Source organism: Homo sapiens, chromosome X (genome assembly GCF_000001405.40).
Source record: "Homo sapiens chromosome X, GRCh38.p14 Primary Assembly".
In the NCBI taxonomy this organism is placed as follows: domain Eukaryota; kingdom Metazoa; phylum Chordata; class Mammalia; order Primates; family Hominidae; genus Homo; species Homo sapiens.
This window is the reverse complement of record NC_000023.11, coordinates 70819963-70838748: the sequence shown is the minus strand read 5'-3', so window position 1 is coordinate 70838748 and position 18786 is coordinate 70819963. Positions and strand designations below refer to the sequence as shown.

General features: G+C 40.1%; 1 protein-coding gene across 4 annotated transcripts in view; it reads left to right on the top strand.

Moving 5' to 3' along the window:
• Window positions 1-18786, top strand: part of TEX11 (testis expressed 11) — a 397485-nt gene that overhangs the window by 69963 nt on the left and 308736 nt on the right. For all 4 annotated transcript variants that reach the window (XM_017029649.1, XM_011530994.2, NM_031276.3 and 1 more), the window contains one exon: window positions 5156-5236. In XM_017029649.1, the coding sequence (XP_016885138.1) occupies window positions 5156-5236 (81 nt within the window). The remainder of the gene's footprint in view (window positions 1-5155; window positions 5237-18786) is intronic.

The following is an 18786-nucleotide window of genomic DNA, read 5'->3' as shown; positions in this document are numbered from 1 at the left end:
ACTGCTTTCTTTGACTAGGAAAGGGAATTCCCTGACCCCTTGTGCTTCCCTGGTGAGGCGATGCCTCGCCCTGCTTTGGCTTGCGCACAGTTTGCTGCACCCACTGTCCTGCACCTACTGTCTGGCACTCCCCAGTGAGATGAACCCGGTACCTCAGTTGGAAATGCAGAAATCACCCATCTTCTGCGTCGCTCACACTGGGAGCTGTAGACTGGAGCTGTTCCTATTCGGCCATCTTGGCTCCTCCCCCTCTAATACTTAGTCTTTTCTGATGAAATTGGTGGTGGTATTAAACAAATGTGATTTTATTTTATTTTATTTGTTCTGAGACCAAGTCTTGCTCCGTTGCCCAGGCTGGAGGGCAGTAGTGCCATCTTGGCTCACTGCAACCTCCACCTCCTGGGTTCAAGCGATTATCCTGCCTCAGCCTCCCGAGTAGCTAGCTGGGACTACAGACAGCCGCCACCATGCTAGGCTAAATTTTGTATTTTTAGTACAGATGGTGTTTCACCGTGTTGACCAGGCTGGTCTTGAACTCCTGACCTCAGGTGATCCACCCACCTCGGCCTCCCAAAGCACTGGGATTGCAGGTGTGAGCTACCGTGCCTGGCCAACAAATGTGTTTCTAAAAATTTTTTAAAATTTTGAAATAAGCATAGATTTGCAGGAAACTACAAAAATAGTAAAGAGAGATCTGTGTACCCTTCACCCAGCTTTTTGCCAGTAGCAAAATCTTGCATACATATAGTGCAATATAAAACCAGGAAATAGACATTGATACAATCCACAGACCTTATTTAGATTTCACCAGTTTTACATGAACTCACTTGTGTGTGTTTGCATGTGTTTATAGAGCTCTATACAATTTCAGCACATGTGTAGGTGAAGATTCATGTTCACTACCACCACCACAATCAAGATACAGAACAGTTTCATTACCACACAGATTCTTTACATAACCCCTTTATAGGGATACCCCTTTCCCATCATCCAAAACCTCAGGCAACCAAAACCTAGTCTCCATCTCTATAATTTTGTCATTTTAAGAACATTATATAAATGTAATATTACACTATGTAACCATTTCATATTGGTTGTTTTCACTCAGCATTTTTTTTTTTGCGATCCGTCCTTGTCTTTTTATGTGTTAATAGTTTGTTCTTTTTGTTTGTTTGTTTGTTTTTGAGACAGAGAGTCTCACTCTGTTGCCTAGGCTGGAGTGCAATGGCGTGATCTCGGCTCACTGCAACTACTGCCTCCTGAGTTCAAGTGATTCTCCTGCCTCAGCCTCCCAAGTAGCGTGAGATTACAGGCATGTGCCACCTTGCCTGGCTAATTTTTTTGTATTTTTTAGTATAGATGGCGTTTCACCAAGTTGGCCAGGCTGGTTTCAAACTCCTGGCCTCAAGTGATCCACCCACCTCTGCCTATCAAAGTGCTGGGATTACAGGCATGAGTCAACGTGCCAAGCCCTGTTCTCTTTTTATTGCTATGTAGAATTCTATGCTATGGATGTACCAATTTGTTTAGCCATTCACCATTGAAAGAATTTGGGTTGTTTCCAATTTTTGGCTATTGTAAATAAGTTGGCATGAACATTTCCATACAGGTTTTTGTGTGGACATAAAGGGTATATTTAGTTTTATTTTTTTTTTAGAAACTGCCAACTGTTTTCTAGAGTGGCCATGCCATTTTACATTCTGTGTTTTGTTTTGTTTTCTTGTTTTCTTTTGAGACAGAGTCTCACTCTGTCACCCAGGGTGGAGTGCTGTGGCATGATCTCAGCTCACTGCAACCTCCGCCTCCCAGGCTCAAGTGATTCTCCTGCCTCAGCCTCCCGAGTGGCTGAGACTACAGGTGCGTGCCACCATGCCTGGCTAATTTTTGTATTTTTAGTAGAAATGGGGCTTTGCCATCTTGGCCAGGCTTGTCTCAAACTGCTGACCTCAGGTGATCCACCCACCTAGGCCTCCCAAAGTACTGGGATTACAGGTGTGAGCCACTGCACCCGGCCACCATTTAGATTCTTACCAGTAATGTATGAGAGATCCCATTTCTTTGCATCCTTGACAGCATTTGGTATTGTGACCAATTTTTTTATTGTAGCTATCCTAATAGGTATATAGTGATATCTCATTGTGGTTTTAATTTGCATTTCTCTAATGGCTAATGATGTTGAACATCCTTTCATTTACTTATTTGCCATCTGTATCTCCCTTTAGGCAAAATATCTGTCATTTTTCTTGTCTATTTTCTATTTGGATTGTTTGATAGTTTACTGTTGAATTTACAGGATTATTTATATATTCTAGATGTGATTCCCTTGTCAGATAAATATTCGCGAATATTGTCTTGTTGTAGCTTGTCTTTTTGTCCTTTTTAATAGGGTCACAGAATACAGTTTTGATGAAGTCCAGTTGATTGATTTCTTTTTCTTTTATGGATCATGCTTTTGGTGTCATGTCTCAGAATGTTTCACCTAGCCCTGGGTTTCTTAAATTTCCATTTGAATTTTAAGATCAGCATGTTAATTTCTGCAAAAAAGGCCAACTGGAATTTTAATGGAATTGGATTAAATTTATAGATCAACTCGGGGAGTATTGCCATTTTAATATATTGTCTTTTTTTTTTTTTTTTTTGAGACAGAGTCTCACTCTATTGCCCAGGCAATATTGCGCCATCTCGGCTCACTGCAGCCTCTGCTTCCCGGGTTCAAGCGATTCTCCTGCCTCAGCCTCCCAAGTAGCTGAGATTACAGGCACGCACCACCATGCCTAGCTAGCTACTTTTTGTATTTTTAGTAGAGACAGGGTTTTGCCATGTTGGACAGGCTGGTCTCGAACTCCTGGCCTCAGGTGATCAGTCTACCTTGGCCTCCCAAAGTGCTGGGATTACAGGGGTGAGCCACTGGGCCCAGCCCTGATGGTAGTTTTGATTGCCCCAAATGTACACATTTTTGAATACTGACTTACAGTTTATGAAATGCTTTCACATCTGTGATCCCATTTGATCCTCATAAAAATCAATCCTATATTGTAGACATTACTGTCCCTATTTTATAGTTAACAAAATAGAGCCTCAAAGAGATTGTGACTTACCTAAGTTCACTGAGCCAAGAAGTGGAAAAACTGGGAATGCAAAGCTCATATTCTTTTCACTACATCAGTATACGCAGGACATCACTCCAGATCTAATGAATCACAGTCTCCCCAAGTTGTGAGAGCTGGGCATGTGATTTTCAGAAAGCTCCACTGGTGAGTCTGATGCTCACAAAAGGTTACTACAGCACTGTATTGTGCTGCCTCTTCTTTAAGACTTCTTTTACTTTAAATCTTTATCTTTTGGGCTTGAAATATTTGTTTCTAGTCATAAGAAGATGAATAAATTTTCAAAAGTAGCCTGAATTATTAGAGCTTTGATTTCTCTAAGATAAAATCTGAGTAATGATAGACACTTTATGGGTTGTTTGAACATTAAAGTCTCATATTGTTTTATATGTTATAAGAACAGACAGCAACATCTATCCTCTGATATGGTGTTGTCACTCAGCATTTCTCTTTTATAGTAAGATTTTCTCCACCTTGAATAATGATTTAATCAGCAAGTATTCATAGAATATAGTGTAGACAGGAATATTATTTTCTAATCTCTATATAGAGATTTGGCTTATTGAGGCACTTGTGTTAGCAATTTATTTTCCCCTTTAATAATATCTAGTATTAAAGCCTTATAAGAGAGTATCTACTCAGCAAGATGTCAGGCTTACTATTCAGCAGTTAGAAGAGAAAACTAGAGAGAAGCTGGTGTCTTACGTTGTTTATATTTTCTTCTGTCTACTCAATTCTTTTATTATTCAAAGCACAATAATATTTGACACCACGTAAAGAAGAGAAGAAAGAAAATAGCAAGTGTAGTACTTTATTATTTCCTTGTATGTATCCATGTTTTTCTTAAAAAATGCTGTGTCAGCCTTTTTTTTTTTTTTGTGACAGAGTCTCGCTCTGTCTCCCAGGCTGGAGTGCAATGGCTCGATCTCAGCTCGCTGCAACCTCCGCCTCCCGAGTAGCTGGATTGCAGGTGCCCACCACCACACCCAGCTAATTTGTGTTTGGGTTGTTTTGTTTTGTTTTGTTTTGTTTTGTTTGTTTGTTTTTTGGTAGAGACGGGATTTCACCATGTTGGTCAAGCTGGTCTCAGACTGCTGACCTCAGGTGATCCACCCACCTTGGCCTCCCTAGGTGCTGGGATTATAGGCGTGAGCCACTGCTCCTGGCCAACTAAGTTCTTCAATGGCTGAAACAAGCCTCTTCTACAAGTGCTAAAGTATGTGTGATTGATGTTTACATTCATTTGGGGGTGTTCAGACATAGAATGGTAGAACTGAAAGGAACCCTGCAGATAGTCTAGTACAGTCTCCTCACTTTATGGATGAGGAAACAATCTGTGAGAGCTTAAGGCTCAAAGTTACACATGATAAATGGCAGAGCGGCTCTTTTGGCTTCATGATGAGATTGTACGAAGCTGCTTTTCTTTTTTCTTAAAATTTTTTTTTTTTTTAAGAGATGGGGTTTTGCTCTGTCATCTGTGGCAGGAGTAGAGAGGTATCTTCTTAGCTTACTGCAGCTTCGAACTACTGGACTTGAGCAATTTTCCCGCCTCAGCCTCTAAAGTAGCTGGGACCATAGGTGTGTGCCACCATGTCTGGCTAATTGATAAGCTGCTTTTTGTAGTGGATATACATAGCAGTTCAGACTATGAGGTTATTGTGATCTTGCTTTAAGACAAAGACTGCTGTTTAGCTTAATTCCTCTAATGTAGAAGTGAATAGAAGAGCTATTCAAGTTGCAGAAGCATCTAGTAGACCTGGCATTATGTCATAGTATAATAACATAAGGCAGTACAACCAGTTTTTGCATTTCCAGAAAAAAGTAAATGACTCCTGCTCATTCAGTATCAACTCTGTGTCACCAAAGATTACCACTTATTCTTCTGTATTTTGAGCAAGCTATCTGTTTAGCTTGAACAACTAGTATTGCTAAAAATATTAGAAAACAAAATAAGACTTTTAAACACTAGTTAAAATATGCTAAAATTGACTTAGAGACAAATAACCTTGTCATTTTAACCAATTATTGACATTCTTTATCTTTTTCAGGCAGTTGCTCAAGGGGATTTTCAAAGAGCATCTATGTGTGTACTGCAATGTAAAGATATGTTGATGAGGCTCCCCCAGATGGTGAGTGAAGTCTGCATTCTCCAAGAGTTTGAAAATATGCTATATCAAGTTCCAGGAAGAATCATTACTACTTCATGCAACCTTTTGGAGATTCTATTTGAGATCAGTTCCACATAAGTAGCTGATCTTTGAAATATTTTGCTTCCTTTGTTCTTTACCAGAAAGGGCATTTGAAAAAGCTATATGGAATATTTCTTTTTTTTCTTTTCTTTTCTTTTCTTTTCTTTTCTTTTTTTTTTTTCTGAGATGGAGTCTCACTCTGTCACCCAGGCTGGAGTGCAGTGATGTGATCTCAGCTCACTGCAACCTCCACCTCCCGGGTTCAAGTGATTCTTGTGCCTCAGCCTCCTGAGTAGCTGGGATTACAGGCCTGCGCCACCACACCTGGCTACTTTTTGTATTTTTAGTACAGACAGGGTTTTGCTATGTTGGGCAGGCTGCTCTGGAGCTCCTGGCCTCAAGTGATCCACCCACCTCAGCCTCCCAAAGTACTGGGATTACAGGCGTGAGCCACCACACCTGGCTGATATGGAATATTTCTTAAAATTTTCTTTGCTTTGTCTTTTATTGTCAAATCATTTTGATAACATTTGCTCCATATTCATGCTATACAACAAAAGAAAGAAAAAAATGAGTTTGTCTGCTGACAAGGTTGATAGCAGTTAATCATCTTACTGCCATAGTATTTTTCTATACTGGGATTTGGAGATGTGAGAGATTTGATAGGATAAAGCCTGCATCCTGGACTGGATCTCATGAAAATTCCTAAATACATAGTTTTTTGCTTTTTCATTTTATCTTCCCTTTCCATTCTTTCTCTCCTATTTCAGCGCCTATGCCTACTTCAGTCTTTACTATCACAGAGGGATTAATAATGGAGATATAATTGGATATTAGGGAGAATGTTCCCAGTATTGCATACATCGTACCTATTTGTGAGATTGGTCTTATTTTTTCCCCAAATTGGGTGTCATAATGTAGAGCTTAATTCAGTAAACATTTATATGTTGCCTGTTATATGTCACATCAGACATTCTTCTAGGCTTTAAAAACTTTTAAAACAATTTCATATTTATAGAAAAGTTATAAGAATAGTACAAAGAACTCCTGTATATCCTTTGCTTGGAAACGTCATTCAAATTTTCCAATAATGTTCTATATAGAAAATGGTTTCAATCTAGAATTATACATAGTCTTCAGTCTCCTTCAATCTGGAAATCTGGAACACCTCCTCATTCTTGCCTTGTTATTCATGATCTTGGCAGTTTTGAAGATTACAGATCAGTCATTTTGTAGCATGTGATTTAATGTGGGTTTAGCCAAAGTTTCCTCATGATTAGAACAGGTTGTGAATTTGAGGCCAGAAAACCACAGAAGAAATTCTATGTTCTACTCATGGCTTCCTATTGGGTGGTATACAGGATTGATTTATACTATTATTGGTGGTGCTAGCTTTGATCTCTTGATTAAGATCGTGTCTTTCAGGTTTTTTCACTGTAAACCTGTATCATTTCGTGAGTGATACACTGAAACTATGGCAAATCAAATTTCTCATTCTACTTTCACCATCTTTATTCTTTTTTCCTCCATTTTTCTAGCTTTATTGGGGGTATAATTGACAAAATTTGTATATATTTATGGTATATAACATAATATTTTGATATACATTGTGAAAAGATCACCACAATCAAGCCAATTTATATATTCATCAACTCACACAGGTTTTTTTTGTGGAGAAATATTTAAGATCTACTTTCTTAGCAATTTTCAAGTATACAATACATTATTATAATATTAACTGTAGTCACTGTGCTGTACAGTACAGCCCCAGAACTTATTCATACGGCCTAAATGAAACTTTGTAACCCCTCCCCTTTTATTTGAAGAGATAGAGTATTGCTCTGTCGCCAGGCTGGAGTGCAGTGGCATGATCCTGGCTCACTGCAGCCTCAACCTCCTCGGCTAAAGTGATCCTCCCACCTCAGCCTCTCGAGTAGCTGGGACTACAGGTGCGTGCCACCAAGGCTGGCTAGTTGTTTTATTTTTTTGTAGAGATGGGGGTTTCACTATGTTATGCAGGCTGATCTTGAACTCCTGGGCTCAGGCAGTCCTCTTGCCCCAGCCACCCAAAGTACTGGGATTATAGACGGGAGCCACTGTGCTTGGACACTTTGTACCCTTTGACCAATATCTCCTCATCCATTCCCCAACCCCCTGGCAACCACCTTTCTACTCTCTACTTCTATGAACTCAGCTTTTTCAGAATCCACATATAAGTGAGATCATGCAGTATTTGTCTTTCTGCGGCTGGCTTATTTCACTTAGCTTAATGTCCTCCAGGTTCATCTGTGTTATCACAAATGACAGGATTTCCTTCTTTTTTATGGCTGAATAGTATTCTATTGTATATAAATACCACATTTTCTTTACCCATTCATCTCTTGTTGGACCCTTAGGTTGATTCCATAGCTTGGCTATTGTAAATAATGCTGCAGTGAACAAGGGATTGCAGATATCTCTTAAAGATACTTATTTTATTTCCCTTGGGTATATATCCAGAAGTGAGATTGCTGGATCATATGGTAGTTACATTTTTAATTTTTTGAGCAACCTCTATACTGTTTTCTGTAATGGGTATACTAATTTACATTCCCACCAGCAGTGTACAAAGTTTCCTTTTCTCCATGCCCTTGCCAACACTTATCTTTTGTCTTTTTGATAATAGACATTCTAACAGATGTGAGGTGATATCTCATTGTGATTTTAATTTGCATTTCCCTGATGGTTAGTGATGTTGAGCATTTTTTCACATACCTGTTGCTGATTTGTATGTCTTCCTTAGATAAATATCTATTCAGGTCTTTTGCCCATTTTTTCATTGGGTTATTTGTTTATTTGCTATTGCAGTGTTTGAGTTCCTTGTATATTTTGGAGATTAACTCTTTATCAGACGTGTGATTTGTGGATATTTTCTCCTATTCTGTAGGTTGTCTCTTCACTCTGTTGATTGTTTCCTTTGCTGTGCAGAGCATTTTGGTTTGGTGCAATCTCATTTGCCTATTTTTGCTTTTGTCACCTGTGGGGGTCATATCCAAAAAAATCATTGACCAGGGGTCTATCTCTCTCTTTCCCTCTAATAATTGCTTTATATATCTGAGTGCTCCAGTGTTGGGTGCATGTGTATGTAAAATTGTTATAGCCTCTTGCTGAATTTTCCCCTTTATCCTTATATAGTGACCTTTTTTTCTCTCTCCTTAAAGTTTTTGTCTTGAAATCCATTTTGTCTGATATAAGTATAGGTACTCCTGCTCTTTCGTGGTTTCCGTTGTCATGGAATATCTTTTTCCATCCGTTTATTTTCAATCTGTGTGTATCTTCATAGGGGAAATGTGTTTCTTATAGGCAAGAGATCATTGGGTCTTGTTTTTTTTTAATCCATTCAGCCACTCTATGTCCTTTGATTGGAGAGTTTAGTCTATTTACATTCAGTGTTATTACTGATAAGTAAAGACTTACTCCTGCCACTTTGTTATTTGTTTTCTGATTGTTTTTGGTTTTCTATTTTTTATTCTATTATATTTCTTTCTTTCCTGTCTTCCTTTTAGTGAAGGCGATTTTCACTGGTGGTATGATTTAATTTCTTCCTTTTTATTTTTTTATTTTCGTTGTTTTTCAGTTTCAGGTTACCGTGAGCCTTGCAAATGCTATCTTATAATCCATTATTTTAAATTGATGACAGTGTAACACTGATTGTATTAACAAAGAGCCAAACACACACATACACACACACACACACACAAACTAATAAAAACTCTACACTTTAACTTTGTTCCCCTGATTAACTTTTTTTGTTTTTCTTTATGTCTTATGGTACTGTCCATGTTTTGAAAAGTTGTTGTGGTTATTATTTCTGTTTGGTTCATCATTTATTCTTTCTACTTAAGTCAAGAGAAGTTTACACCCCACAATTTCAGTGTGATACCATTCTGTCTTTTTCTGTGTGCTTACTGTTTTTTTTTTTTTTTTTTTTTGAGACGGAATGTTGCTCTGTCACCCAGGCTGGAGTGCAGTGGCATGATCTTGGCTCACTGCAACATCCGCCTCCTGGGTTCAAGTAATTCTCCTGCCTCAGCCTCCCAAGTAGCTGGAACTACAGGTGCATGCCACCACACCCGGATAATTTTTGTATTTTTAGTAGAGACGGGGTTTCACCATATTGGTCAGGCTGGTCTCGAACTCCTGACCTCAGGCGATCCACCTGCCTCGGCCTCCCAAAGTGCTGGGATTACAGGCATGAGCCACTGTTTCCAGCTGTCCAGCCTTGTGCTTACTATTACCCATGAGTTTTGTACCTTCAGGTGATTTCTTCTTGCTCATTAACATCCTTTTCTTTCAGATTGAACAACTCCCTTTAGCATTTCTTGTAGGACAGGTCTGGTGTTCATGAAATCCCTCAGCTTTTGTTTGTCTGGGAAAGTCTTTATTTCTCCCTCATGTTTGAAGGATACTTTCTGCTGGATATACTATCCTAGGGTAAACATTTTTTTTTCTCCTTCAGCACTTTAAATATGTCATGCCTCTCTTTCCTGGCCTGTAAAGTTTCTGCTGATAAGTTGGCTGCCAGATGTATTGAAGTTCGATTGTATGTGATTTTTTTTCTTCTCTTTTACTGTTTTTGGGATTCTTTCTTTATCCTTGACCTTTGGGAGTTTGATTATTAAATGCCTTGAGGTGTTCTTCTTTGGGTTAAATCTGCTTAGTGTTCTATAACCTTCTTATACTTGAATGTTGATATCTTTCTCCAGGTTTGGGATATTCTCTGATATTATCTCTTCGAATAAACTTCTTACCCATAGCTCTTTCCCTACCTCCTCTTTAAGGCCAATGGATCTTAGATTTACCCTTTTGAGGCTATTTTCTAGATCATGTAGGTATGCTTCATGCTTTTTTATTTTTTTTCTTTTGTCTCCTCTGATTGTGTATTTTCAAATAGCCTGTCTTGAAGCTCACTAGTTTTCTTCTGCTTGATCAATTCTGCTGCTAAGAGACTGATGCATTCTTAAGCATGTCAATTGCATTTTCAACTCCAGCATTTCTGCTTGATTCTTTTAAATTATTTCAGTCTCTTTGTTAAATTTATCTGATAGAATTCTGAATTCCTTCTTTGTGTTATTTCAAATTTCTTGCAGTTTCTTCAAAATAGCTATTTTGAATTTTCTGTCCGAAAAGTCACATATCTCTGTTTCTGCAGAACTGGTCCCTGGTGCCATATTTAATTCATTTGGTGAAGTCATGTTTTCCTGGATGGTGTTGATGCTTGTAGATATTCATCGGTGTCTGGGCATTGAAGAGTTAGGTATTTATTGTAGTCTTCTCAATCTAGGCTTGCTCATGCCAGTCCTTCTTGGGAAGGCCTTCCAGTTATTCAAAGAGACTTGGACCCCAAGCCTAATAATGCTGTGTTTCTTGTAGACCCATAAAGGGTACTCCTTGATGACCTTGGATAACATCTGAAAGAATTCTCTGGATTACCAGGCAGAAACTCTTGTTCTTTACCCTTACTTTCTCTGAAACATATGGAGTCACTGTCTCTGTGTTGAGCTGGGGGTGTGGTGATGCAAGCACTGGGCCTGTGCTGTGTCAGACTTGAAGCCAGCACAGCACTGGACCTTGCCCAAGGAAGGCCCTTCCCTTTAGGATGGTGAGTTCCCCCACAACCCAGGTGTGTCCAAAGATGCTCTCTGGGAGCCAGGGATTGGAGTCAGAAACTTGAGCAATTTACCTGTTTTATTCTACTGCAGTTAAGCTGGCACTCAAATCACAATACAAAGCCCTTCCCACTCTTCCCTCCCTTTCCACAGGCAGAGGAGTCTCTCCCTGTGGCCGCCACCATCAGTGGTCCATGGGGTGTTCTGCTAGGCCACCACTGATGTTCACATAAAACCCAAGGTCTCTTCCATCAGCTTGTGGTGAATGCTGCCAGGCCTGGGACTCACCCTTCAGGGCAGTGGGCTCTCCTGTGGCCCAGGACGAGAAATACTGTCCAAGAGGCTACACCTGGATTTGGGGACCCCAAGAGCCAAGCTGGTACCTAGAGTGCAGTACAAAGTCCTCTTTACTTTTCCTGGGCTTTTCTCAAACAAAAGGAGTCTTTCACTGGAGCCACCACAGCTGGGAATGTGCTGGGTGTCCCCTGAAGCCAGCACTTCTCAGAGCCCAAGGCCCATGGTGTACTCCCTGGGTCGTTAATGGTTATTCCAGGGTTATACCAAGGGTTCTTTAGTCAGCAGGTGATTAATCCTGCCAGGACTGGATCCTTTCCTTCAAGGCAGTGGGTTCCCTTTTGGCCCAGGATGTGTCTAGAAATGTGGTTTGAGAGCTAGGTCCTGGAATGGGGGCCTCACTACTCTGCCCAGTGCCCTGTCCTACTGTGGCTGAGCTGGTATCCAAGATGCTAGACAAAGTCCTCTTTACTCTTCCCTTCCCTCTACTTAGGCAGAAGGAAGGAGTCACTTTCATTGCTACGAGCTTTATTGCCTGGGGTTGGGGAAGGGATGGTGCAAGCCCTCCCTTTGCTGTGCCAGCTGTTGTCTCCCTAGGTCACGTGGCAAGTTCACTGGCTCTAAGCCCAGCCTTACACTAGGAGTTGCCTAGGAATTGCAGTCCTTGTGCCCTAGACTGCCACTCAAGTTTATGTAGGACCCCAGAGCACTTCAGCCCACAGTGACGAGGCTTGCCAAGAAACTCAAGTTCCCACCACTGGGATGAGGGTAATTCTCCTGTGGCTAAGGCTGGTCCAAACACTCCCTCTGTGCACAAGCGCTGGCTGAACCCAGCATGACTTTTTTCTCTACTGTGACTGTGCAGCACTGAGTTCAATGTAAAGTTCCCCAGCTGCTGTGCTCTTCCTCTGCAATGTGCACAGATTCTCTCTCTGCACTGCATAGCTGCTGCCAGGGAAGCGGGGAGGGGTGGCCTTGGAGATTGAAGACTGTTTATCCTGCCCTCTTCAATGCCTCTTTCCACAATATGTAGTTAAAACCGGGTACTGTGAGTGTTCACCTGGTTTTGGTTCTTGTGATTGTGCTTTTCTGTGTGCAGACAGTTGTTAAAATTTGGTGTTCCAGTGGAGGGTACAAACAATGCAGGCTTTTATTCCATGATCTTGCCCCACCCTTATTTTAGCTTTTTTTTTTTTTTTGACAAGGAGTTTCGCTCTTGTTGCCCAGGCTGGAGTGCAATGGCACAGTCTTGGCTCACTGCAACCTTCGCCTCCCGGGTTCAAACGATCCTCCTGCCTTAGCCTCCCAAGTAGCTGGGATTACAGGCATGAGCCACCATGCCCAGCTACTTTTTTGTATTTTTAGTAGAGACGTTGGGGGGGTTTCATTATGTTGGTCAGGCTGATCTCGAACTCCTGACCTCAGGTGAGCCACCCACCGTGGCCTCCCAAAGTGCTGGAATTACAGGCGTGAGCCACTGCGCCAGGCCAACATCTCTTATAAGGTGATTATTTATTTATTTATTTTATCTGAGACTGAGTCTCACTCTTTTGCACCCAGGCTGGAGTGCAGTGGCGCGATCTCAGCTCACTGCAACCTCTGTCTCCCGGGTTCAAGCCATTCTCTCACCTCAGTCTCCCAAAGTAGCTGGGATTACAGGCTCCTGCCACTACGTCCAGCTAATTTTTTGTATTTTTAGTAGAGATGTGGTTTCACCATGTTGGCCAGGCTGGTCTTGAACTCCTGACCTCAGGTGATCCACCCACCTTGGCCTCCCAAAGTGCTGGGATTATAGGCGTGAGCCACCACACCCGGCCAAAGTGATTTTACTGGAAAAACATTTCGTCAATTCTTGTATGCTGCTCTAAACTTAAAAAAGATCCTTTAAGAATGTAAAAACTTTTAAAATCTCACCATCCATATTGGCCCACAGGTTGTAATTTGCTGACTCATTTCTTTACTGAGACTATATTTTTCTATTTATTTCATGAGTGTTTATAATTATTTGTTCAAACAGTTTTAAAACATCTGATTTAAAGCCCTTATCAGATAGTTTTAACATTCATATCATCTTTCTATGATTGTCTTTTCTTATGTATGTTGAGATTTTCAAGCATTGTCATATACCGAGTAGTTTTTTATTGAACAATATATATATATACATATATATAAATATATGTGTATATATATTTGTTTTTTGAGACTGAGTCTCCCTCTGTGGCCCAGGCTGGAGTGCGGTGGCATGATCTCAGCTCACTGCAACCTCCATTTCCCGGGTTCAAGCGCTTTTCCTGCCTCAGCCTCCCTAGTAGCTGGGATTACAAGCGTACACCACCATGCCCAGCTAATTTTTGTATTTTTAGTAGAGACAGGGTTTCGCCATGTTGGCCAGGCTGGTCTCAGAATTGACCTCAAGTGATCTGCCCGCCTCCGCCTCCTAAAGTGCTGGGATTACAAGCATGAGCCAACACACCCAACCCCTATACATTTTCTATATTACATTTTTGGCTTCTGGGTCTTGTCTAAATTCTGGGAGAGTGTCGATATTTTTATTATAGCAGGTAATCAATCTGGTAGATTCAGGCAAATTTTAAACTCATTTTTTGTGGGTTATGGTTTCAATGTTGTTTCAATTTTGCAGTGTGCTTCAGGTTTGTCTTGCGTATGCAACACTCATTGATCAGTCCTGGTACTTGGCAGAGGTTTATCTGTTAGCTCAGTTATCAAAGTTTTTGTTATGTAAATTAGGTTGAGATTCCTGGTTATTAAGGTTGTAGGATAAGCCTTGAACTTAATCAACTTTATTTTGTTGCTTTTCTGAGCTCCTCTCTCTCTCTCTCTATGATCTTCTTGGTAGTTTCTGGTTCTCTGAGCTGTCCTTTTCAGTCCTCTAACCAATAGCTATCCATAATCTGCAGTTGCACTGTGACTGGGGCCAAGCAGTAGGAAGACACAGGCAGAGGAAAAAAAGCAGTGGGAGTTTGCCCCATCCTGTGGGAACTACTGCTGCAGTGAATGGACAGTAAGGTTTTCCTCTCTCAAAGTTTTGAGTATTTTGGTTTCCCCTGGCTACCACTGCTGTTGCCACCATGGGATTGCCTAGGGCCTGAGCACAAGAGAATGGAAGAAAGATGAAATAAAAACCAAAATTGAATATTTGCACTTTCTCTGAGCAATTCAAGCCAGAAGTAGAGAAGCACCCTCAGTCTGTACCACAGCATTCGCTTCTGAGTTTCTGGCTGCATTAAGTTTAGGCCAGGGGATATTAGAGGAAAAGAATGGTAAACTTACCACCAGTTTGGTGTTAACTTGAATTCTGGTGTTCTTCCTTTATTTGCCTTCTGCTATTATTTTCTCAGAGTCCTCAAATAGCTAAGTGCATTCTGTCGAGGTTTATAGTTACATTCAGTGGGAGATAAAGGGTGGTGCATACTTACTTTATCTTACCCAAAACTAAAACACTATTTATTTATTTATTATTTTTATTTTTTGAGATGGAATCTCACTATGTCGCCCAGGCTGGAGTGCAGTGGCATGATCTCGGCTCACTGTAACCTCCATCTTTCAGATTTAAGTGATTCTCCTGCCTCAGCCTCCCAAGTAGCCGGGACTACAGGCATGCGGGCATGCACCACTATGCCTGGCTAATCTTTGTATTTTTTTTTTAGTAGAGACAGGGTTTTATCATGTTGGCCAGGCTGGTCTCGAACTCCTGATTTCAAGTGATCTGCCTTCCTTGCCCTCCCAAAGTGCTGGGATTACAGGAGTGAGCCACTGCACCCGGTCTAAAACACTATTTTGATGGTTAACTCTTTCTACATTTGGCCATTAAGAGGCCCTTTAAGCTGATTTGTATGTCTTTTTTGGAATGGCAGGGTGGTTTACTAGCCTGGTGATCTATTTGTGTCCTTTCAGTTTCCGGCCTGAACTTGTCTTTTTTTTGAAATATTTATTTTGGTAGAATTGACAAATAAAAATTATTATGTATTTAAGGTGAACAACTTGATGTTTTGATATACATACATATTTTGGAATGATCACTGTGATAAAGGTAATGAACATATTCATCACCTCACATAGTTACCTTTTTTTTTGTGGTGAGAACACTTAAGATATAGTCTCTTAGAAAAAAATCACCTATACAATACACAACACAATGTTATTAACTATAGTCACCATGCTGTGCATTAGATCTCCAGAACTTATTCATCTTATATAACTGAAACTTTGTATGCTTTATCTAACATCGCCCTATTTCCCCTTCCCCTGAGCCCCTGGCAGCCACCATTTTATTCTCTGCTTTTGTAAGTTTGACTCTTTTCATTTTACATATAAGTGAGATCATGTAGTATTTGCTTTTCTGTGCCTGGCTTATTTCATTTAGCATAATGTCATCCAGATTTATCCATATAGTTTCAAATGAGACAATTTCCTTTTCTTTTAAGGCTGTGGTATGGGTTCAATGTTTGACGCCACCCGCCCCCCACCCCCCAACCAAATCTCATGTTGAAATTTCATCCCTAATGTTGGAGGTGGGGCTTAGTGGGAGGTGTTTGCATCATGAAGGTGATGAAGGCAGATCTCTCATGAATGGCTTGGTGCAGTCCTCATGGTAATGAGTGAGTTCTCTCTATTAGTTCCTGCTAGAGCTGGTTATTTAAAAGAGCCTGTCATCTCCCTCTGCTCTCTGTCTTGCTTCCACTCTCTAGCCATGTGATTTCTGCGCAGGCTAGCTTCTCTTTGCCTTCTACCATGAGTGGAAGCAGCCTGAAGCCCTCATCAGAAGCAGATACTGGCACCACCTTGTACAGCCTGCAAAACCGTTAATCAAATAAACCTCGTTTTAAAATAAATTACCCTAGGAGTGACAGAAAATGTGAAAAAAAGTTACTCTTCCTCAGGTATTCCTTTATAGTGACACAAACTGACTAAGGCCGATATGGGTGTGTGTGTGTGTATATAGATACATACATATATATACGTATATACAATATCCTGTGTGTGTGTGTATATATACATACCACATTTTGTATATACATGCATATGTATATCCTGTGTGTGTGTATATACATACCATATTTTCTTTATCCATTTATCCATCAACAGGTATTAGGTTGTTTCCATATCTTGGGTATTGTGAATAATGCTGCAATGAATATGTGAGTGCAGATATCTCAAAATCCTGATTTTAGTTCCTTTGCATACATACAGTTAGCCCTCTGTGACCCTGGGTTCCACATCCATGTATTTAACCAACTGGGGATTGAAAATACTTGGGAAAAAAGGATGGTTGCATCTGTACCAAACATGTAGATACTTTTTTCCTACTACTTTCCTATTCCTACCTAATACAGTTGTTATACTGTATTATTTATATTATTCCCTAAATAATACAGTATAACAACTATTTACATAGCATATTCATTGTATTAGATATTATAAGTAATCTAGAGATGATGTAAAGTATATAGGAGGATGTTTGTAGGTTATATGCAAATACTATGCCATTTTATATAAGGGACTTGAGTATCTGTGGATTTTGGTATCCACAGAGGGTCCTGGAACAAATCCCCAGCAGATACTGAAAGATGACTGTACCTAGAAGTGAAATGGCTATATCATATAGTAGTTTTATTATTTTTTATTAACCTTCCTACTATTTTGCATAATGATTGTACAGATTTACATTGCCAACAGTGTACAAGGGCTCCCTTTTCTCCATTCCTCAATGACACATTATCTTTTGACTTTTTGATAATAGTCATACAAACAGGTGTGAGGTGATGTCCCATCGTGGTGTTGATTTGAATTTTTCTGATGATTAGTGTATTAGTTCGTTCTCACATTGCTATAAAGAACTACCAGAGACTGGGTAATTTATAAAGAAAAGAGGTTTAATTGGCTCACGGTTCTACAGGCTGTACAGGAAGCAAGGCTTGGGGTGGCAGGGGCTCTGGAAACTTACAATCATGGCAGATGGTGAAGGGGAAGCTGGCGCATCCTACATGGCTGGAGCAGAAGGAAGAGAGAGTGAAGGGGGAAGTGCTACACACTTTCAAACAACTAAATCTCATGAGAACTCATTATCATGACAACAGCAAAAGGGAAATCCACCCCTATGATCCAATCACCTCCCACCAGGCCTCTCCCCCAACACTGGGGGTTACAATTCAACAAGAGATTTGGGTGGGGACACAGAGCCAAACCATATCAATTAGTAATGTTCAACACTTTTTCATACACCTGTTGGCCATTTGTATATTTTCTTTGAAGAAATGGTCTATTCAGATCATTTGCCCATTTTTAAATTGAGCTATCTGGTTTTTGTTTTGTTTTGTTTTGTTTTTTGTTTTGCTATTGAGTTGTATGAGTTCCTTACATATCTTGCACATTAATTCCTCATCAGATATATGGTTTGCAAATATTTTGTCTCATTTTGTAGGATGCTTTTTCACTCTGTTGATGGGGTTTCTTTGCTGTGCAGAAGCATTTTAGTTTGATGCAATCCCACTTGTCTATTTTTGTTTTTGGTGCCTGTGCTATTAGAGTCATATACAAAAACTCATTGCCAGGATGAATGTCAAGAAGCTTTTCCCTTGTTTTCTTCTAAAAGTTTTACGGTTTCAGGTATTAAGTCTGATATGGCTTGGATATTTGTCCCTCAGAATCTCATGTTGAAGCGTAATCTCCAATGTTGGAGGTGGGGCCTGGTGGGAGGTGATTGGATCATGGGGGAGGATCCCTTATGAATAGCTTGGTGCTATTCCTCACAATAGTAAGTGAGTTCTCACTCAGAGTTCACACGAGATCTTGTTGTTTAGAAAAGTGTGTGGCACCTCCCTCCTCACTGTCTTGCTCCCGTTCTTGCCATGGGACATGTTTACTCCCCTTTGCCTTCCTGAGGCTCTCACCAGAAGCTGGCCATGATTATAAGCTTCCTGAGGCCCTCATCAGAAGCTGAGAAGCTGTTGGTGCCATTCTTGTACAGCCTGCAGAACCATGAGCCAATTAATAAACCTCTTTTCTTTATAAATTACTTAGTCTCAAGTATTTCTTTATAGCAATGCGAGAACAGCCTAATACAAAGTCTTTAACTTATTCTGAGTTGATTTTTGTATACAGTGTGATATAAGGGTCCAATTTCATTATTTTGCATGTTGATATCCATCAACACTGACTGAAGAGACTGTCTTTTCTTCATTGTGTGTTCTTGGCACTCATGTTGAAGATCAGTTGCCTGTGAATGTGTGGATTTATTTCTGGCTCTTCTATTCTATTCCATTAGTGTATATGTTTGTTCTTATTCTAGTACCATACTGTTTTGATTACTATAGCTTTGTAATAAATTTTGAAATGAGGAAGCATGATGCTCCTGGGTTTGTACTTCTTGCGCAAGATTTCTTTGGCTATTTGGATTCTTTTATGATTTTATATGAATTTTAGGATTGTTTTTCCTATCTGTAAAGAATGCCATTCAGATTTTGATAGTATTACATTGAATCTGTAGATCATTTTAGGTAGTATGGACATTTTAACAATATTAATTAT